Genomic DNA, 21,931 nt, shown 5'->3' on the forward strand with positions numbered 1-21,931 from the left:
AAATACTGTATGATTCCACTTACATGAAGTATCTAAAGCAGTCAGATTCATAGAGATAGAAAGTAGAATGGCAGTTGTCAGAGGCTGGGGCTTGCGGGGATGGGGAGTGGTTGCTTAATGGATACAGAGTTCAGTTTTGCGAAATGAAGAGTTCAGGCTATTGGTTTACAACAATGTGAACATACTTAGTACTATTGAACACTTATAAATGGTTAAGATGATAAATTTTGTTATGTGCTTTTTACCACCATTAAAAATAAGAAGAAAAGAAAGTAGATGATTTACATTTTTTAAAAAAGCAAAGCAGGGCTGGGCACGGTGGCTCATGTCTGCAGTCCCAGCACTTTGGGAGGCCAAGCGATCACTTGAGCCTAGGAGTTTGAGAGCAGCCCAGGCGACATGGTGAAAATCTATCTCTACAAAAAATACAAAAATTAGCCAAGCACGGTGGTGCTTGCCTGTAGTCCCAGCTACTCAGGAGGCTAGAGTGGGAGGATTGCTTGAGCTCAGAAGGTTGAGGCTGTAGTAAGCTATGGTGGTGCCACTGCACCCCAGCCCGGGCGACAGTGTGAGACCCTGTCTCAAAAAACAAAAACAAGCTGGGCGTGGTGGCTCATGCCTATAATCCTAGCACTTTGGGAGCCTGAGGTGGGCAGATTACTTGGGGTCAGGATTTCGAGGCTAGCCTGGCCAACATAGCGAAACCCCATCTCTACTAAAAATATAAAAATTAGCCAGGCATGGTGGTTGTGTGCCTATTGTCCCAGCTACTTGGGAGGTTGAGGCAGGAGAATCACTTGAACCCGGGAGGCAGAGGTTGCAGTGAGCCTGGGCAAGAGAGTGAGACTCCGTCTCAAACAGCAACAACAACAAAAAACAACAACAATGACAAAACTAAAACACACACACACAAACCATACACATACACAAAACCGAAACATAGAACCTGCCCTTTCTTTTAAAAAAATAAAAATAAAAAACCAAAAAAAAGCAAAGTGAAGGTAAGGGTGGGGAAGGTAAGGCTTTGGATAAAAAACCAAAAAAAAGCAAAGTGAAGGTAAGGGGTATAGGAAGTGAGAGGTCAACCCTGACTCAGACTCCCCCCATTTGAGTAGCACTGGATTCCCAGGCACTCTTTCCCCTGCCTGGGGATGGGTGGGGACCCAGAGAGGCAGCTGGAGGAGAAGGCCCTGGGTGCTTAACTGAAACCAAAACAGCCAAGAATCACAGCTGCCATTTTCCCTAACTGCACCTCCTCCACACACATACCCCACTTCTTCTCTCCTCTCTGCATGTATTTATAACTTACTTTCCCCTTGGCATTCACCTTAGCCTGTTTCTTCTCTATAAAAATAGTGGGGAGGCTGAGAGGTGGAAACACAGTGTTGCTTTGGGTCCCGTACCCAGGAAGGTCTGCCTTCCTATTCCTGCCACCTGTTTTGCCTCTCTGGGGTCCCACTGGAGGCAGAGGATGTACGGGATGAAAGCTGGGAAGCCTCCCTGCCCATACAGGGAACGTCAGCATGGAAGGAAAGGCTGCTAATTGCTGCCGATTTCCCTTTCACTGAGTGAAATGTGACTTTGCACTTCTCCATCCTCCTGCTGGCCGAAGCAGCCAGACCTATGGGGGACCCTCAGCACCGGCCTGCTGGCCACACACCCAGATGGGCTGGACATAGGGCATCCGGGGGCTCGAGTGGTTTCTCAGATGTGCCCTCCTCCACTACCTCCAGGGGTGCCTCTAGCCCTTGGCTTCCTCTGCCACATGGCCTGGTCCATTGCATGTCTATGTTCCTGAGATCTTGACCATATACATCACAATTTAATTCCTCAATATGCCTGGCATGTTAGATGTAGATTTTTGGGCCTCTCTTGACTGGAGTGTGGCGGGTATCCATATAGGAGGCCAACAGGAAGGTGGTGGTGGTGATGGTGGATCTACATCCTCCTCCAAAAACAAGCCCACTCCCTCCTCCTTGGCAAAGCCTTCGCCAACCATTCTAGTCTTCTTGGACCTCCCCTTCTGAACTGTTAATCTGCATTCCCCTTAATCTAACTCTTGATCATCGCTGACTTGTACTTGACATAGTACAGAAATTCTTTCACTGGTAATACTGGACTCCTTAACCAAGTGTTAGACTCCTGGAGGGAAACACTCTTCATTGCTTCCTCGATTTTTTGCAGCAGGATCTTTTTTTTTTTTTTTTGAGACAGAGTCTGGCTCTCTCGCCCAGACTGGAGTGCAGTGTTGCAATCTCAGCTCACTGCAACCTCCGCCTCCCAGGTTCAAGTGATTCTCCTGCCTCAGCCTCCCGAGTAGCTGAGACTACAGGTGCCCACCACCACATCTGGCTAATTTTTGTGTTTTTAGTAGAGACAGGGTTTCACCATATTGGCCAGGCTGGTCTTGAACTCCTGACCTTGTGATCTGCCTGCCTTGGCCTCCCAAAGTGCTGGGATTACAGATGTGAGCCACCTCACCCAGCCAATGCAGCAGGATCTTAAAGAGGGTCCTTGTTTTGCAAAAATATTGCGATGCTTCATTCATTTTCCAAAGGCCTCTCAATTTTTGATACCCAGATCGTTGACTTGGAGGTAATTGTGTTGTCATGATCCTTGTTGGTTTTCTTTTCTTCAGTTTAGTTGGTCTCCCCTAGCTCCTTATCTTTTCAATGGCTTTGTGGATGATGTAAAAATTTCTCTAACATTGATTTCATCAACCTCATTAAAATCTGCATTTTGGGAGGCAGGATATGCAATTTCACTTTGCAATTGGCTTGTGTATTTGTTTGTGTGGTGGTAGCCACCCACAACTAGCAGAGACCAACAAAGACCTTTGACACAATAGGTTGGGTCAGGCTAAGGCTGGAATTAAACCAAAAGAATCTATTAGTGAGGGGTTAAGGGTAAATTGTGGTTGGTTCATTAGTGAATATTTTTGTGTTATCTTGACTTTAGCTTCCCAGCACAAGCTATGAGAGCCAGAAAGTAAATTTTCTTTTTTCTTTTCTTTCTTTCTTTGTTTTTTTTTTTGAGACAGAGTTTCACTCTTGTTGCCCAGGCTGGAGTGCAATGGCTCGATCTTGGCTCACTGCAAACTCTGCCTCCTGGGTTCAAGTGATTCTCCTGCCTCAGCCTCCCAAGTAGCTGGGATTACAGGGGCTCACCACCATGCCTGGCTAATTTTTGTATTTTTAGCAGAGACAGGGTTTCACCATGTTGACCAGGCTAGTCTTGAACTTCTGACCTCAGGTGATCCACCCACCTTGGTGTCCCAAAGTGCTGGGATTACAGGCGTGAGCCACCATGCGTGGCAGTCAATTTTCATAGAGAGGACCTCTGTACTTTGACGGGATTAACGCACCCTTGATTTTTCGGCTGTATTTTCTCCTTACCATGGAAGGAATTTGGATAGCTGCAGTCTAGTCGTGTGGGAGGCCAAGCCTGGGATGAGGAGCTTCCAGAGTTTAGAGCTAACGAGTGGGGGTTACAGGGCAGTGGGTTTCAGTTGTCTAAGGAAGAACTTTCTAACAAGTAGCATTGTTAAGCTGGACGGGCTGCCTTGTGAAGTGATGTGCTTTCTGTCACTTAAAGTATTGATGCTGGGAAGAGATGATGGGGAGGTTGTAAAGACAACTTCTGTGGTGGGTGGGAGGTGGGGCTGGAGGACCCTTCGGAATCTGAGAGTCTATTATTCTACATCTTTTGTTCTTTGTTACCAACTCCTGAGGACAGCACTGGATTTGACTCATCCCTGCATCCCCCGAGCACCTCGTGGGTGCCGTAAAGGCAGCTGGGTTGATGATGACTGAGTGAAGGAGCGCCTGAGTGGATGAGCCACTGAGTGAATGAACTGGAGTTCATCTTCCACGTGGTCCTCAGCATCCACTCTAGAAGCCAAAGCCAAGGTTAGGCTTCACTCAGGTCTTCCCATGGGAGCCAGAGTGAGAGATGGGACCCTGGGGAAGGAGGAGGAGAGGGAGGCTGTTAGGATGGGGGTGGCTGGGTAGCTTATAAAGGGCGTTGTAAATTTATTGAGCACTTAATTCAGTGACTCTCAACCTTGGCTGCATATGTAAGTCACCTGGGAGCTTTTTAAAAGGTGGTAATGTACGTATCTCACCCCTAGAGACCTGGATTTAATTGGTCTGCAGTGCTGAGCATCTGGTTTTTTTAAAGCTCCCCAGGTGATTCTAATGCACAGCCAAGGTTGAGACCCACTACCTTACTATGTGCCAGGTGCTTTGCATGTTTTCTCATTTAATCTTCACAACAAGCTCATGAGTTACGTCACTAGCTCTTGGTGTAGTCCCTGGACCAGCAATCACTTGGGAACTTGTGTTAGAAATGCAAATTTCCAAGCCCCACTCCAGACTTAGGGAATTGGAGACTCTGAGATGAGGCCCAGCAACCTGTGATTTTGCCACCCCTCCAGGTGATTCTGATGTGTGCTCAGGTTTGAGAACCACTGAGTAAGGTAGTAGCCACCTATGGGTGAGGTGGGGAGGTTTGGTTACTAGCCCAAGGATGTTATAGTAAGGGACAGTAAGTACAAAGCTGAGACACACCATACTGCTTGTGGGGAGGTCACTAGGGTCTCTTGATAGCCCTTGGTTGACTCTTTCTCCTCCTCTTCACTTGGTAGCAAAATTTAGCTCCATCTGGAGCTCAGTTGCTCTTGCCCTGGGGAAGCAAAGGGCAGAACACCCCAGGATTCACTCTAAAACAGTTTTATTAGGTGCTGAAAATAGCTTCTGGCAGATGGTGTGTGTAGAATGGAGGACTGGAGTAGAGCTGCACCTGACATTTACAAAGTTGTGTGTGTTTGTGCAAGCACATGTACATGCATGTGTGAACACAGCCCCTGTATTTGCATGTGTGCATGGTAGGGTCAGAGAGGTTGAGGAATTGGGGCAGAGGCATAAAAGAGCAATGGAACAGGATGGGTGATTCTAATCTACCCAAGATTAAAGAAGAGAAGAGCTTTAGATTAGGTTTCTCATGGCACTTGGCTGAATCCACTGCCTTCGCTGGGCACGTGGTGGTGGGACAGGTGTTGTTGACTGGTTGAGTGAGCTCTAATGTGGCTCTCAGGAGCCAGAGACCCATGGATGATACGGGGGATTGCAGTGAAATTCCAGAAAGCTTGGAGGTTTTGATGGGCTGAAAGCTTGAAGGTTAAGAGCCGACATAGGAGGCTTTGCTTTGCAAATGAAAACACTGGGAATTCACTTCATTTTCCCTATGTTAAAGGAAATGTCTATATACATAAATCTGGGTTCCATTTAGGTGTAGAGATGGTGAATGTTCTTCGATCTAAACCTCGCTGGCAGACCCTCAAATTGTTGTGGGTGGCTCTGTTTCCCTTGGCAACTCCCAGCTGTAGTCTCGAATCCTGCAGCTGTATGATTCCCGCACCCTTTAATGCAGTAGTTCTTGACCTTTCTGGGTTTTGGACCTATTTCAGTATCTTATTAAATCTAAAGTGCCCTCTCTCCAGAAATGTTACATCTACATGTACACAGAAAAATTTGTCAGCAATTCATGGAAGTCCATCTTTGACCCACTGACTCTAGTGGAGGGCCCTGAGAAAAATGGCCACCTGTCTTCCAGTGATCCTTAATTCAGCCCTTCCCTGAGTCAGGAGACCTGGGTTCTAGTTCCTCCTCCATCACTCACTGTAAAATGAATAGAGGTAATGGTATTTGAGCCATTAGAAGGTAGGGGCCTAAACCAGATGTCTCCTTGAGGCTGGCTTCAGCTGAGAGAGCTTGGATTTTACCGATCAATGGTCTTAGAGCTTTGGAATGGTGAAGCACACACTCAGCTGTGGCTCCTCTGCCTAGCTCAGTGCCACCCCCATGCATCCTGGGACCACCCTGTGGGCTCTTGCTCCTGCCTGCCACACACGCAGCTCCTATAATCCCCAGTGGCGTAAGCGATGCCATCTCTTCTTTATCCTCTGTAGTTAGCCCCTGATTGTTTCTGTTGAGTGTTACACACCCCTGAGAGGAGTACACACCATCCACATGCTTGTTCTTTATGTAGAAGGTAGTGCGGTAACTGAACAGGGCATGGGAATTCGGAGTGAGAGGACCTGGGTTCTAACTCCAGCTCTAACCTTATTAGTCGTGTGACCTTCGTAAGTTATTTAAATATTTCAAGCCTCAGTCTCTTTACCTATAAAAATGAGGATGATAATATCTGTTGGGCCTAACTTACTGAGCTATTACTAAGAGCAAGTGAGAAGGTCACTATCAATGAACTTAGCCATCCTCCAAAATAGACCACACATGATCCTTTTCACATAGGTTGAGTCTGGGTCTTTCTTCCTTCCTTGCAGGCTGGCAGCCTGGCCCTTTTGATTCATAAGGGTGGCAACTAAAAGTTGAGGAATAGCTCCTTAGCGTTCTCCCAACCTACTAGTGTTCTGTCATGAAGGAAGTTGCCATTTTCAAACAATGGCTCTTTCAGAGCTCTGAGACATCCAGAAGCAACACAAACCAGGTCTCTTTAAGTGTGCAGTGGCACTGAAGGTGGGAGTAGGAAACTATGGTGACTGGAAATTTCTACAACCAGGCGGAGGGTTCTTTGGCTGGGGGCTGTAGATAAAGGAACTGAGGGAAACACAAAGGTTTGGAGTATGTGGTGGAGGTGGAGGGTGGGGGTACTGATTCATGTCTGTAACAGGGCCACGGAAGGTCAATAAGAGGCAGAAGCAGCATTTGGATGAGGATAAAGGAGAATGGCTTGGGAGGACATTGTGTATGAGAATGACATGGCCCACTTGGCTAGAAGGAGACCATGGAGACCATGTTTTCTCATCGATGCTGTAAAATAGGCATGCAGATTAGGAAGCAGTGAGGGGCGACTCCTGCCATCTAGGCACTTGCTTGGTGCAGGGCTGAGCTCAGCGTTAAGCCTCTGATGAGTTCCTGACTTGCCCAGCTGACATCTAAGCTCAAAAGCAAAGAAAGCCCATGGACAAAAGCTGTTCTGGACTTAATTCTGACCAACAAAAGAGAACTGATTGTTGAGGGGAGTGATCAGAGCCTCCAGAGGAAGCCACTACAGAATTTTAGAGTTGATAGGATCCAGGGAATGAAAAGGTGAGAATACAAAGTCAGACTTCTACAAAGCATGCTTCAAAACTTCAGAGAAAGGAATCATCAGCTGTGGTTCTCAAGAGAATATAGTTCAAGAGGTTTTAAAACTGAAGTCCTGACAATAAAGTCACAAATTATCCTGAGTTAAAAAAAAAAAAGAGGGCAGCCTCTAAAAATAAAAGTGGCTGCACAGGGAGCTCTCCAGTGCACACAGATCTTAGAAGTCCTTCTGCTCTCCAAAAACTTTTGACATACTTTGAAAGTATATATATATATATATATATTTTTAAATTTTGAGACAGAGTCTTGCTCTATCACCCAGGCTGGAGTGCAGTGGCTCAATCTCAGCTCACTGCAACCTCCACCTCCACAAGTTCAAGTGATTCTCCTACCTCAGTCTCCCATGTAGCTGGGATTACAGGCACCTGCCACCAAGCCCAGCTAATTTTTGTATTTTAGTAGAGATGAGGTTTTGTCTTGTTGGCCAGGCTGGTCTCGAACTCCTGACCTCAGGTGATCTGCCTGCCTCAGCCTCCAAAAGTGCTGGGATTATAGGCGTGAGCCACTGCACCGTGCCGAAAGCATATAAATTTGAATACGATAGGGTAGAGGGGTGAAAACAGGGCCTTTGGAATCAGACAGCATTTGAATTCTGGGTCTGCCTCCTACTAGCTGTGCAACCTTGGATGGATGAATCATTTAACTTTTCTGAGCTCTAATATCTAAATCTGTAAAATGGGGATGATTGTACCCACTTGATAAGGTAACTGTGAATGAAATGAAATGGCACCTGTGAAATTCCTACTACAGTGCCTTGCATGTAGTAAGTGCTTCATCAATATTAGCATTATTGCCATTCTACAAAATATAGGAGATGTTCTTAAACAAAGGGTAACTGCAAAAGAATAGTGCAAATGGGTAAGAATATACTGGATGGGTTAAAGGACAGGTTGCTCTGACACTTGTGAAACCTGTGAAGAACACACAAGAGTTCTTTGGGTAAAATCATCAAGAAGGAAGGCAGACGTCATGCCTGGACCTGTCAAAGTGTTGTTGATGCTGATGGAAGAGCAGGATAGTGACTTGCCTGTGTCACTGTTATCTCCCTTGGAATGATGTGCTTCAACAACAAACACAATTAAGATGGAGTTGAAGGCCAATCAAGATCATTCCTCACCACCTTAAGTGAGTGTCATTCTCACTGCAGGGCACTGATGGAGCTTACAAATGTGATGGCGGAGGCTTGATCTACATGAACTACTTTGCATAAGTACTTTGAAGAATCATGGGGAAACGGAGAGGAGTCAGAAGACTGCAAAAGAGCAAATGTGGCTTCAATTTTCAAAAACAGGATAAAGGATAGATTTAGAAAGTACAAAGGTGCATTTAGTGTCCATCCTGGCAAAATTCTAGAGGAAATTATTTAACCGAGGTGACAATCCTGGTAGCCTCTTATCTGGCCTCTTCACTTCTGCACTTGCCCACCCCAGACTCCCATGCTCTGTTCTCAGTCTAGCGACCAGAGGGTTCCCTTTAAGTCAAATCATGCCATGTCTGCTCAGAACTCTCCAGGGGCTCCCCTTCTTACTGAAAGGAAAAGCCAGTCCTTCCAGTGGTCTACAGGGCCCAACACCACCACCTGCTGCTTCTCTGACAGCAGGTCTCATGGGTATTTTTCCTCCACCCCCTCTTGCTCGGGGCACGCTAGCCTCCTTGCTCTTGGCCTTCACCCTTGCCATTCTCTCTGCCTGGATCACTCTTCCTCCAGACAACTGCTTAGTTCACTCCCCCATGTCTTTGCTGAAATGTTACCTTCTCAGTGAGGCCTTTTATGGCCACCCTATCAAGGCCCCACTTATCTTTCTTGACATTTTTTTCTCCTTAATACTCATCCCCATTCAACATATTACATATTTTTACTTACTTCTCCTGTTCATTAGCTTTCTCCCCTTACTAAAATGCAAGGTCTCCAGCCTCTGGGACTTTTGTTTGTATCCTTAGTTCATAGAACAGCACCTGTCGCATGGTCCTCTTTACTAAATATTTGTTGATTGCAAGGGAGGGAGGAAGATGGCTTGGGTAGACTTAGAGTTCACTAGACAAGGTGACCAACCATCCCAGTTTCCCCAGGACAGAGAGAGTTCCTGAAACATGGGACTTTCAATGCTAAGATCAGGAGAATCCCAACTGGTCCCCTACACTAGACCAGCCGTTCTTCTCTACTTCTGTGATACGGTGATTAGACTGATGGTTCCCAGGAATGCTACACACTCATTACATCCTCATCTCAGCTCAGCCTCTCACAAAGTCTGTCTTGATAACCCTACAGATGAGATGCAGAAATACAGGCTGCAAGATAGTGTATTTGGGTGGTTTGTAGCTAGCTGAGCGGCCACACCAGACATGTTGATGAATGGACCCATGGCAGGCTGGCGGGAAGGCTGCAGTGGTGAGCCACAGAACTGTCTCTGGGCCCAGTTCTGCTCTGTGACCTATCTGAGCCATGCATGCGGACACAGAAGGCAGGATTGAATTTGCTAGTGCACTAGGGAGGGAAAACTAATACACTCAACAAATTGGGTTAGGTTTTGAAATCATTTCAATAGAAAAAAATGATAAGCCATCAGCTTAAACAGAAGTAAGTATCATTTTCTTTCTTTCTTCTTTCTTTTTTGAGAAGCAGTCTTGCTGTGTTGCCCAGGCTGGAGTGCAGTGGCACAGTCTCGGCTCACTGTAACCTCCGCCTCCCAGGTTCCAGCGATTCTCCTGGCTCAGCCTCCCGAGTAGCTGGGATTACAGGTGCCTGCCACCACGCCCGGCTAATTTTTTTGTATTTTTACTAGAGATGGGGTTTCACCATATTGCCAGGCTGGTCTCGAACTCCTGACCTCAGGTGATCCACCCCCCCTCGGCCTCCCAAAGTGCTGGGATTACAGGCATGAGCCACCACTCCTGGCTGTAAGTATTATTTCCTATTTAGGATTAAAAGAAAAAAAAGCAATCTGAAATGTACAGAAGACACCAGGCTTAATAGCTGTTTTGTTTTAAACCCAGTACATTTAGTTGCCCACATGCCTGGTCTAGTGTTGAAGCTAAGACTTCAGATGTTACCTGTTAGGCTGTGTTAATGGACACATAGAGCCAGAGGAGGGCAGGGGATAGTCCCACTGTCCTTCCTCCTGCTCGAAACACACCAGAGCCACATGTCCAGCTCTGTACCAGGGGAGGGGCTGCTCATGTTCAGCTGCTCCATTTCTGGCTATTCCAGGACACAGCAACCCACCGAGTGCCTTGTCCTCACTCTCTCCAACTGGGGAGTGCCCCTGCGGTGTCATCTCTCTTTACAGAAGAGATGCCATGAGCTACTTTCCTTTCCCCACCTCACCTAACTTCTCTGCTGTAGCCTAACAGTCCAGGACCTGGGGATTCAGGTGAGACACAGATTAAGTCCCCATAACTGACATTTTCTTCTGAGAAGAAAGCATTCACATTCAAGGACTTGAGCAGCTCTGAGCCCCATGGCAGCTGAGATGCCACAGTGCGTCAAGTACAGGCACATGGCATCTGGGAGGCAGAGCTACATCCTCTGGGTTGGATGATTTCTGCCTTTCCCCAGGGGTTCACAGCTTGCAATCATTCTGTAACTGAGGAGTCTGGTGGAAATGGGGGTAGCAAAGAGATCAGAGCAGGCAAATGGTCCTCTGGGGCTGGGAACACTCCCTCTTTCTACCTTCCAACTGCAGGCACATGTACGTGTCTTTTCAGCCTGAGGGATCTAAAGCCTTGGGACTTCTGGATCTGCAAGTGGTCCCTGTTTTGGTAGCTATTGACTGACGAGGGGCTCTTCGGTAAGTTCTGGGGTGGCAGTGGAGGTGATGATGGGAGGGTGTTACAGGGCTCCACAGGCTCTTACAGGGCTCGGGAGCTTATTTAAGGGAACACCTTGATTGTCCATGTGTCGTGGGCCAGAGAAGAAAGGCAGCACTGTGGATCTTCTGGGAGGAAAGGAGAGGCGTCGATTTCTGACTCCAGTTTTCTATGATCAGCACAGACTCTGTCCCACCTCCTCCCTACAGAGCTTCTGGATCCTGGAGGATGGAGAATAGGCTAAATTGCACAGGCCAGCTCCAGTCCATTGGCAGGGCTGCCTAGAACATGGCTGTGATGATCCCAAAGCTCAATAGCAGAGAACCCTGTGGGGTGCTAGGAGTGTCTGCCAGGGTGCCGCAGGGAAAGGGGAGCATGTGTGTAGATGTAGAAAGCATCTCTGCCATCCCCTCCCCTAAAGAATATATAACATGGCCATGCAGAAAAACACTTGTGAAAGGAGCTGCTGCCCTCAGGACAGCGTGTCATTGAAATGGGGGCTGAGCAACCCGTCAGAAGAGTGGGGAGGAGGGACCATCCTCCAGCCCCTTCCCAGCTCTCTTCTGGAGCCATAAGCCACAACACTGTCTATGAAAAAGCTGAGGCCTAGAGCAGAAGGAGTGCAAAATCCCAGCTACTGCAGGCCTACGCCCAGTGGTTCTCAAAGTGTTGTCCTCAGTCTAGCAGCATCAGTGTCACCTGAAAACTGGTTAGACATCCAGGTTCTCAGTTGTTATCCAGCTCTAGCAGATGGGAAACGCTGGGGGCGGGACCAGCCATCTGTGTTTAACAAGCCCCACAGGTGACTGCTGTAGCCTTGAGTGAGGACCTCGGCCAAAAAGAAGGCTCCTACCGTGGCTGTTTGCTGATGGTCTTCGCAGAGCCTGCTGTCTTTGAGCTTCCTGAGAGAGGGACACTACCCTCGCTTAGGTGAGTGCTCCAGGTCCATGGGGCCTGATGCTCTGTCCCTGGTCTGGCTTCCGCCCATGTATACATTTGCACTCTTGATGGTGGCTTAGGATCTGCTTCCAACAAGTCTGCCAAATGTGCTCTGTAACACAGGGGGACCCTCCAAATGTGCATTGCTTTCTGTCAGTCTCAGGAAACCCATTCCCTTCCCAGCCTATCTCAGAAACGGAGAGTGGTGGCTCAGTGGCCTCTGGCTCTGGCACAGCCCCTTGATGGGTCCACAGTGGCCCCTCTGCCCTTGGCTCTGTTGGCTTCCCAACAGATGTTCCTCTTCACATGTAGTCCTAAGAACTCAATCAGTTTAAAAACAAAAAAACTAAAAAAGCAAACCATGCTCATTGCAAATTATACCAAAATGAAATGGACAGATAGAATGCAGTAATTTCCTTATCCCATAGCCCTCCCCTCCCTAAATCCTCTATCACCCCATGCCCTGCTCCTGCCCTAGTGAGCCAAAGTTCTTGCTGTCTTGATGATTTGCAACTCTCTGCATGACTCTGCCTCTTGGGTTTGTTTAATTAGAAATAGGCTGGGAAGTGCTTCCTATGCTCTGGCATGTTAATTGCTTATCAGAGAAGGAGAAGGGGTGACGGCATTTGGTGATGGAAATTTCCGCTCTCCCCATCTCAGGTTCGTCTCCATGGTTCTCTCCCACCCCTCTCCTTGCCTCCTGCGCTCTGCCTCCCTCCCTTCCTCACTCTGGTCGTTGTCACAGCCACAGAGACTCTTGGGGGCCAGAAGCAGGCCCAGGGGCCAGAATTCAAACCGAAAAGGAAAAACTGTCCCCTCTTTCACTCTATCCCTTTTCTTGTCCCTCTTCTCATATCCCAGCTGGCCCCCATGCCCATCACCCTCCAGGCTCTGAGGAGAGTCCAGAGCAGAGCTCCTTAACCACACTCAATACTCAGAGGATTATTTTCCTTTCGTTCCTTTCCCCCGTATTATTGTTATTATTTATTTTTATTTTTTACAAAACAGGAGAAAAGAGTGAATCGGGTTGGGGGAGGTGACACATTTCTCCACAAAGGTACAAAATTGCCTATAGAAAGTCAGCTTCGGAATGCCGAGCCCAGGCTGCTGAGATGAGGCGTTCCTGGGCATCCCTCTCCCAAATGTCCTTCAGATCTGGCTGGGGTCACTCCCACATTGAGGGCAGCCCCCCGAGGTGAGATGGAGTGGCCTCCTTCAGCCCTTGCCCAGGAGGCACAAGAGCAAGCAACTGAGACTGTACAGAGAAAGAGAAGAGGAAGGGGTGCAGCCCGGGGACACAGGTAGGGGACAGCCAAGCCAGGCCCAGGAGCCTCTGGGCAGAGAGAAGATGGGGAGGCAGGAGGCTCTAGCCAAAGTCCCTCCTGTTCCTTGGAGATGTTCCTCAGAATGGCAGCAGAGGTGACCCTAGGAGGTAAGGGCAACTTTTTCGAGGCTGCAGAAGCACCCCCAGGGCCACAAAGCCCCATCTGTCTTGGCCCAGCTGCCAGGCCTCAAGCACGTGGGTCCATGTCCCTTTCCTGGCAGGGCATCTGGCCCAGACTGCTTCTCTTTTGGTAAAAAGTAGTCCTAGTGATTTCTCTACTGCTGAGAACAGGCTGAGCTTCAAGAATTTTGAGACAATGGTGGCAACAGTGTCTCCCCTTCTGAGGATCTGGGCAGCTTCCTCCCTGGATTCCAGGGCAGGACGAGGGGAGCAGACACAACCCGGACAGAAGGGGCACTCCAGCCCCAGAAAGCCCAGGCTGGAGGGAGAGGCCGCCTCCCACCCACACCCTTCCTGGGTTGGCCTGTGCCAAGGTGGGCCGCTAGCCCAGCTGCCAGGAGAAGGACAGCGAGAGCCAGGATGGCAATGAGCCCAGGACGGTCCCCTAAGGCTCTGTGGCAAGAAGTGGCCTCTTTGGTCCTGGCCCATACACAAGCCAACTGGGTGTGGGCATCAGCAAAGGCCACTTGCAGGCAGGCCCAGTACTCCGTGGCCTGAAGGAGGCGGGTAATGTTGTAGCTGTGGGTTCCCCGAGGCAGGCGGGCCAGAGCTGTGGCCCCCTGGCCCCGGAGGGAGGAGGCACTGGACCAGGTGAGGTTGGTGGACACTGTGTTGGGTGGGGTGACCCAAGATAGCAGGATGTGATAGGGGTGGGTCTCCTGCACCCGGAGCTCCAGCCCCTGTCCTTCGTCCCTGCCTGGCTGGAGGAGAGCACGGCCCACAACCACACTAACCGTCTTAGTGTCAGCCCCCACCAGGTTCTGGGCCACACAGGTGTATAGCCCTGCCTCTTCTGCTGTCACCCTCCGCAGCTCCAGGGTCCCCTCGGGGTACACCCGGTACCTCCTGCCTGCATGGGCAGGTGTCAGTCGAAGCCCAGCTGGAGTGACCCAGTAGATCTCGGGTTCGGGTTCGGCCAGTGCCCGGCAATGCAGCACCATGCTCTCTCCACTGGCTACCTGGAGGCTTGGGGGGAAGCTTCGTGGGGAGATGAGGGGCAAACAGTGGTCCGTCATCTCCCGGAAGGGCACCTCACGGACCGGGAGGCGCTGGAGGTCCGGAGGCTCCGCACACAGGGTGGATTGCGGCTCGATGAAGCGGACACGGGTGCCCGTGGCATTGGCCCAGCGGATGACACAGTCACAGCGGATGGGGTTGCCGTGGAGACCTACCTCCTGCAGGTTGGGCAGGGACTCCACCGTCTGCTGGTGCAAGGCACTGAGAGCGTTGTTGTTGAGCATGAGGGTCTCCATCTGGGGCAGGTGGTGGAAGGCGCGGGGGTGGATGAAGGACAGCCGTGGGTTATTGGTGATGTCCAGCTTGGTCAGCTCGGGGAGGTTCACCAGGGCAAACTTGTCGATGGAGACCAGCTCCTCCATGTTGTTCAGTCCCAGCTCCTTAAGGTGCAGCATGTTGGCAAAGTCCCCCGGCCCTACCCGCTGGAGCGGGTTCTTGTTGAGGTCTAGGAACTTGAGCCCGGGCACCTGTTCCAGTGCCCGCCTGGGCACCCGGGCCAGCTGGTTGTCATAGAAGGAGAGGCTCTCCAGGCTTTGCAGCCCCTCCAGGGCATAGTCGGAGATCTCCCGCAGGTTCATGCCTGCTAGCACCAGGCTACGCAGGTTGGCCAGGGGCCGGAAGTTCATGTCCAGGATGGCATCTACCTTGTTGCCGCCAATCATGAGTATCTCCAAGTTGGGCAGCATTTCAAACCAGCGGCTGTCAATGGCCCTCAGGAGGTTGGAGTTGAGGTGCAGCCGCAGCAAGTTGCTGAGGCCAGAAAAGGCCCTGGGGGCGATGCGGTAGAGCTGGTTGTGGTTGAGATAGAGTTCCTGTAGGCTGGCCAGCCCTGCAAAGCTGTGGTCCTCCAGCCGGGTCAGCTGGTTCTCCTCTAGGTGCAGGCTCAGCAGCTGGGGCAGGGCATGGAAATCACAGTCTCGGGCATCCGAAAAGCTGTTCTGGGACAGGTCCAGCTCTGTGAGATTGGCCAGGTAGCCCAGCTCACTCTGGTCCACACGGACAATGCTGTTGCTCTGCAGGAGCAGGGTCTGTGTGCCTGCGGGGAGTGCCGGGGGGACTGCCGTCAGGAATAGGTCATTGCAGTCCACAGTGGTAGCCTCGCGGTAGGACGAGCGGGGCGTATACCAGGGCCGGATCTGGCAGGCACACTGAGGGGGGCAGGGAACATGCCAGGGTACCACGGGCACAGCGGCAGTGGCACCAGCCACCCAAGCTAGCAAGAGTGGGGCCACGAGAAGCCTCATGGTGGAGCTGCAGGGCAGGGGACCATTCACAAGAAGAGTCTGGAGTCCTGCTCTTTGTGTTTTGCAGGGTAAGGGTCAGCAACCCTGCCAGGGCCCAAGGAACCACCCTCCCAGGGCAGTCATTCTACACCGGGCGTCACTTCTTGCCCTCCTCAATATGCCTTCTCTTCCTTGTCCTCTGGGGCTGGGCCTGCTCAGTCATTGCCAGGCCCCATCAGGGGCAGCCCTGGAAGAAGAGGATGCAGAGTTAAGGAGGTTGCAGAGAAGCAGTATCTACCCCTCCTCCCGTGTTTGTTTGTTTGAGACAGAGTCTCATTCTGTCACCCAGGCTGGAGTGCAGCGGTGCACTCAGCTGACTGCATCCTCCGCCTCCTGGATTCAAGCGATTCTCCTGGCTCAGCCACCTGAGTAGCTGGGATTACAGGCACCTGCCACCACTCCTGGCTAATTTTTGTATTTTTAGTAGAGATGGGGGTTTCTCCATGTTGGCCAGGCTGGTCTCGAACTCCTGACCTCAAGTGATCTGCTCACCTCGGTCTCCCAAAATGCTGGGATTACAGGTGTGAGTCACCGTGCCTGGCCCCTCCCATGTTTTTTGACTCAACAAGCCAAAGGAGCTGCAGAGGTAATGGCCAGGCCTGTCCTTAAGGCTTTAGTGTCCTTTTCTATGACCTGCTCACAGAGTGAGTGACTGTGAGTCTTCAGTGAAGGAGAGGAAGGTGTATGTGTGTGTATGTGTGTGTGTACATGCACATGTGTGTTTGGGAGGGAAGGAGAGTGGATGGGCTGAAATTATTGTTATCTTCAGAGTCCTTCTGAGCCCAGAGAGATGTGAGGTAGGTTCTCTAACCTTTCTTACCTCTTTCCTCCCAGCCTCCTTGGCTCACTGGGTAAATGGAAGATAAAATGATAAGTTTCCAGAAGTTCCTCTGGCAGTGTAGGTGGGAGGTGGGTGAGGGTTGGTGGAAATAAGTACAGCTTCTAAAATCTGGGATGGGCTCCCCAGGACCCTAGAGGTGAAAGGCAGCAGACCTGACACATCCAGGCAGGCTGGGGTGTTCTGCTGCCCAGGATCTTCTGGGTGGGGATATTGCTTTGGTGTTTGCCAACTTCCCCACCCTGGAGGCAGGAGTGTTTCTCCTTTCCCAACAGCCTGGCAGTGTTGCCCAGGAGGAGGCAGTGGAGTTAAGAAGCCTGGGTCTGAGCTCCTCAGCTGTGCAGGTAAGACCTTCTGTGACCTGGCCCGGCCCCTTCACCTGGCTTCTCTTGTCACCACCCCACTTACCCGCTGCACACAAACCTTTTGGGTTGAGGTTACCGTGACATGCCACCCCTTCTGATGTCTCCTCCTCATTGTCTTCCAGACAACTCCTACTTGTTCTTCAACGCTCAACTTTAAGTTCAGTCACCACCTGCAGAAGTCTTCTCCAAAACCTCCCCACCTGGCTGACTAAGGGGCTGGCTTTATGCTCTTGCAGTACTCATGCTTCCTACTGTCACAGTTCTGACCACACCGTGGGAAAACGTCTCTAACTAGAGACCTGTCTTGCCTCTTGTGCCTGTAGTACGGGATGGGTGCCCAGTGTGTGTTGATTGTATGAATCAATCTCTGTGACTCCAGAGTTCCTTTCTTCAGGAGATTAGACATCACCCCTGCAATCAACAATGCAAGCCACTGCTGTTTCCTCCATCCTGAGCATGAGGAACCTATCCAGTTTCTCTCTCAGATGCCAGGGCCATGAGGCAAGTCCAGCCTTGGCCTAGAACCAAAGATGGAAACAAAAAGGGGCCAGACTGTGTTGCCTTCTTGAGCCTGGTCTGACTCCTGAGTGGAAGTCTGATTCCAGGTAAGTTTTTAGCTACAAGTGTCAAGGAAATGCACAAACACTTACTGAGCACCTACCATTGCTCAGGACTCTTTGAAGACTCTGAATGTCTTTTTTCATATGACTCTCATAACAGGTACATGAGATAAGCACTAATACCTCCAGTTTGCAGATTAAGAGACTGAGGTCCTGAAGAGGTTAAAGAACTTGGCTCAAGTCACATAGCTGGTGAGCAGCAAGATACAAGAATCAACCCAAGTCCAGGGGGCTGTGTGCCGTTTACACTTCACATCTGTGCTGCCAGGTCTGTCTGATCTGACCCTGCCCTGGGCCTCTGGAGGGTCTGGGATGCACTGAATGCTGCAGCTGCAGGCCCTGTGCCTGTTCTCGTCCCCTGGGGTGATGACTCCTTACCAGGCAGCTGCAGAAAGCTTGGAGCTATGTCTCCTGCCACCATCCAGGCAGGTGCCTCTCAGCGGGCCAGAGGGGCTCTTCACCTCCCTCATCCTGCTTCCAGGATGCTAGGGCTTGGGAGGGGAGCAGCTGGAGGCAGGGTCCCGTTCCCTGAGCAGGAACACAGCAAGCCTATTTACATTTGGCTACTTCCCACTTTCCTCTGCAGCTATTTCTGAAGGTGGGAAAAACAACCGCGACTTCAAAGGCACAGAGGTTTTGATAGGGGTGTGTGTGCACCGACACGTAAAACTCAGTGTGAACAAACACATGTGTACACATGCATGCATGCCTGCATACCTGTGCAAGGGGAACCCAGCTACCCAAGCCAGTGTATGGGGGTCAGGAAGCAGGGAGGGAATTTTGTGGTGGTCTAGGTGGGTGGAAAGGAAGGAGGGAACAAGCTGAGTCTCCGAGAGGTCCCTGTTGTGGAACTGGATCTATGGCCAGTAATCCTGCCACACTTACATACCAGAGACCCCTGACTGCCACCTAGACCTGCTGTGAGAGAGCAGACCTACCGGCAAATAGATCAGGACCCAAATCGCGGCCCTACCACTCACTACCCAAGTACCTGAGGCAAAGCTACTTGACTGCTCTGAGCAACCATTTCCTTCTGTATTACATGAGATTGTCATTGGAGTTAAATGAGTGTGTTGCACACAGAAAGAACTGGACAAATGTTAGCTCTCTTCCAGCTCCAGTCATCCCTCAGGGTCAGGAGGTTCTCCAGCTATAGGACTTCTTAGGGGACAATAGAAGTTGGCTCCTAGGACTCCTAGGGCTCGATAAGTTAGCAAGTGCCATGCTAGTTGGGGAGGCAGGTTCAAAAACACGAAACAACTAGGAGAGCCCAAGACATTTCCCAAGTGGAGAGAAGGGTGAGGGCTGGAGGAGGTGGAGAGGGGTCTTCAGCTGGGCCCCAGCATCTCCCTGACCTTTAGACCCTACCCGAGTCCAGTTTCCCTTCTTCATCAACACTTGGTTCTAAGCGCTGAGTCCGTGCTCAACTGCACTGAGGGGATCAAGGAACCATTTAAAACTTCATTGAAACCCTCCAGGCACTTGCCTTTCCCCTTCACCCCAGACTGCTGCCCCTTCCTTCCCTCCCCTGGTTGGGCTGGGTGGATGAGGCAGAGGTCGTGGCTCCTGGGCCGGGAGCCTGGGGCTGGGCCTCGGGATCCAGAGGCAGTGACTTGATGACTCATGTTCACACTGCACCTCTGACCCCAAGGCTTGGCAAAGGCCCAGACAAGTCCACCCCCTCACTGCTGAGCATGCAGCTCTTTCCAGGATGCAGCTCAGAGCTGCCCTCTCACCTGCCATCACCACCTAAGGCTGCCTTGCACATGGCCCGCTCATGCAGGCTGATTAGCAGTTTCTACCGGGGAGCTGCAGAGAAAGCTAATTGTCTTTCATCTGTAATCTCCAGGGGTGATCAGGAGTTCAGACTGTCACGTGTATACTTTCCCCAATTGGATTCCGAGCTTCTTGAGGCAGGGGCCATATCTTACATGCTTTTTGTGTCCCCAGAGCACCAAGTGTAGGATTGAGCATGTAGCAGGTGCTTGAGAGTTGCTATAGTGAAATGTGTAGAGAACACGCATTGCATTTAATCCCCCCAACAACCCTGTGTGTAGGCAAGAAGGGATTATTTAGCTCCATTTTGCCAGGGAGGCAACTGAGAGTCAGAAACGTTAGGTGATTCATCAGAGGTTGCACAGCTTCTATGCAGTGGGGTCAGGATTCAAACCCAGGGTCTTTGACTCTACATCCTGCCTCACCAGCCCAGCCAATGTGGATCAGCACCTGTTTTACAGGAGCAGAGGGCAAGGCTGCCTCAGTTGCAAATCCCTTCAGAGAAAACCTGAGTCCTCAGCTCCTCCACGCACCTGCCCCCTGCTGGGCCCCTCAGCTCCTGTTCCTTGACTCCTGCCTAGAACAACCCCCCTGGGGGACAGTGTGGGGAAGGACACTGTTCCTGTGTGTGTGTGTGGCTGGGCCTGGAACCACAGGGACAAACAGAGCCAGCTGCTGCACACAGACCTCAGCCTGCCTTCTGAATGGGGGCTGGGGGCTGCTTTTTGCGCAGCCAGTGACTGCTGGCCAGCTGTGGGCTTCAGGGACAGGAGACAAAAGCCCTAGAGCCGTATTCCAAGAAGCAGGGTTGGTTGCCCACTCCAAGGGCAAGTTTCTCTCTTGGAAAGGCTGGTGCTGCAAACCCTGTCAGGTCTATGTTCTCGGGGCTGTTTCTGTGGATTTAGCGGAAACTGTGGAATTAATCCACAATGCCCCTGATTAAACTAAGACCTTTGGCAAAGGTCTGAAGGAAGAGTTTTGGAGACGCTGTCACTACTTTCTCCCTTCCCTGCTTCTCAGGCCCCCGGCCCCAGCACAGCCCTAGTGCTCCTGCCTGGTATTGGTGGATGCAGAGTCTCCTCTCTCCTCTCCTCCTCCCTCCTCTCCCTGGCGGTTCCCCCCCCACCCCCCCCCCCGGGAGCTGAGGGTCCAGAGGGAGGGTGGCAGGTGGTGATCGATTGCCTGGCCTTGGCTGCTTCAGTGCCAGGACACCCTTCTCCCCACAAAGCTGCGGAGAGAGATGGGCGGCATAATTGAGTGTAGCGTTGATAAACTCCGGCCTCCTCACCAGCAGATAAGCGCTGGGTGGGAGGGATGCTGAGGGTGAGGAAGGCCAGTCCTCCATCTGCATACCTGGCCTCCAGCTCCTCCTGGGAGGTAAGCCTGGCCCCTCACTTCCACCTCCCATTTAATCACACACAACCAGAACCTCAGAGCTGGAGGAGACCTCAGCCTCAGCGTTTATCTGCTCTTCCAGAGTCTGAATTCCATAAATAACTTATGTGAAGGAGGAGTGGTGGGGCGTGAGCCTGGCTCTGCTGTTTGCTGTGTGACCTTGGGCAAAGTACTTAACCTTTCGAGCCCCAAATCCCTGAGCTGGGAATGGGGATAATGCCTGCACCCCTTCTGGAATTGCTGGGAGGAGTACGGGATGGAAGGTACATGAAGTGCCTGTTAGTTCCCTCTGTTGCTTCCCAGCATTGCAGCCTCTCCTTTCATCTTACCATACATTGGATTGGAGCAAAAGTAATTGCGGTTTTGGCCATGAATTTTAATACTAATACTAATACCTAATACTTCTCATCTCTCAACTTTTGTAATAAACTTAAAAAATATTGTTGAGGTATAACATATGTACGGGAGAATACATAAATGTCCCTGATCCCAACATGCATAGGTACAAGTACAACCACCACCCAAATCAAGACATAAACATTTCCAGCACTCCAGAAGGTTCCTACGTATGTGCCCCTTCCCAGTCAATATCCAGCCCCCACCTGGAGCTAACCACGGTCCCGACTTCTATCGCCGCCAAGCAGTTTCATCTTGAAAACCCAGAATTCCCCTTCCTTTTCCATGACAAGTTGGGACCAGGGTCTTTGGAATTAGGTTACTCTGGCATTAGGGAACTTTAAATCCACTTCATTCCTCCCCCTACTTCAAAGTGGGCTATAGCGTCTTAGAATCTCATGTTTAACCAGTGATCTCCAGGAAGAGAGGCTGATTCTTCTCTCTCTTTCTAGAGTTCCCGTATCTAAAAATTGCTCTCAGCCTTGGGGCCCAGCTCTGGCCAGCATCCTCATGGCCTGGGCCTGGGAGTGCCATGCTGCCTTGAGGGAGGATGATGTGGGTGACCTCCTGGCCCCCGTGCCCTCTAGGCCTTCTCATCACAGAGTTCTGGAGCACTAGGCAAGAGGATGGATTGGGGGTGGCCAGGAAGGAGGGGCCCAGACCTGCACTCCTAACCATCCATCCCCTGGGTCACTCTACTCGGCAGTCTCAGAGGCTCCTCCCATTCTGCTTGTCCTAAATGCAACATCTCCTCCCACTGCCTGGCTGTGCTGCATTGGTCCCATTGCCATCAGCACCACCGTCCACCAAAGGCTGGAAATGCCC

The 21,931-nt window shown here is 50.8% G+C and overlaps 1 protein-coding gene and 1 long non-coding RNA gene across 10 annotated transcripts in view, besides 2 other annotated features; one reads left to right on the forward strand and one right to left on the reverse strand.

Moving 5' to 3' along the window:
• LRRN2-AS1 (LRRN2 antisense RNA 1) overlaps positions 1 to 21,931 on the forward strand; it is a 65,547-nt gene that overhangs the window by 40,145 nt on the left and 3,471 nt on the right. For 7 of the 8 annotated variants that reach the window (XR_007066814.1, XR_007066815.1, XR_007066816.1 and 4 more), the window contains 4 exons: positions 3,736 to 3,908; positions 8,314 to 16,898; positions 17,042 to 17,524; positions 17,640 to 17,807. This is a non-coding gene — a long non-coding RNA (LRRN2 antisense RNA 1). Of the gene's footprint in view, positions 1 to 928; positions 3,909 to 8,313; positions 16,899 to 17,041; positions 17,525 to 17,639; positions 17,808 to 21,931 lie in introns of those variants that run through there. The other variant, XR_007066819.1, reaches the window with a different exon arrangement.
• The window catches only part of LRRN2 (leucine rich repeat neuronal 2), a 68,569-nt gene continuing 59,492 nt past the window's right edge, over positions 12,855 to 21,931 (reverse strand). For both annotated transcript variants that reach the window (NM_201630.2, NM_006338.3), the window contains one exon: positions 12,855 to 15,903. In NM_201630.2, coding sequence (NP_963924.1) covers positions 13,536 to 15,677 — 2,142 coding nt within the window. In that variant the 5' untranslated portion in view covers positions 15,678 to 15,903 and the 3' untranslated portion in view covers positions 12,855 to 13,535. The remainder of the gene's footprint in view (positions 15,904 to 21,931) is intronic.
• Positions 14,384 to 15,243: an enhancer, noted in NCBI's record as "H3K4me1 hESC enhancer chr1:204587827-204588686 (GRCh37/hg19 assembly coordinates)". NCBI's record gives its function as "activates a minimal SCP1, AML or CMV promoter by ChIP-STARR-seq in primed H9 embryonic stem cells {active_cell/tissue: H9 hESC(primed)}" and the evidence as "EXISTENCE:reporter gene assay evidence [ECO:0000049][PMID:30033119]".
• Positions 15,244 to 16,102: an enhancer, noted in NCBI's record as "H3K4me1 hESC enhancer chr1:204588687-204589545 (GRCh37/hg19 assembly coordinates)". NCBI's record gives its function as "activates a minimal SCP1, AML or CMV promoter by ChIP-STARR-seq in naive H9 embryonic stem cells {active_cell/tissue: H9 hESC(naive)}" and the evidence as "EXISTENCE:reporter gene assay evidence [ECO:0000049][PMID:30033119]".

Source organism: Homo sapiens, chromosome 1 (assembly GCF_000001405.40).
Source record: "Homo sapiens chromosome 1, GRCh38.p14 Primary Assembly".
Lineage (NCBI taxonomy): Eukaryota > Metazoa > Chordata > Mammalia > Primates > Hominidae > Homo > Homo sapiens.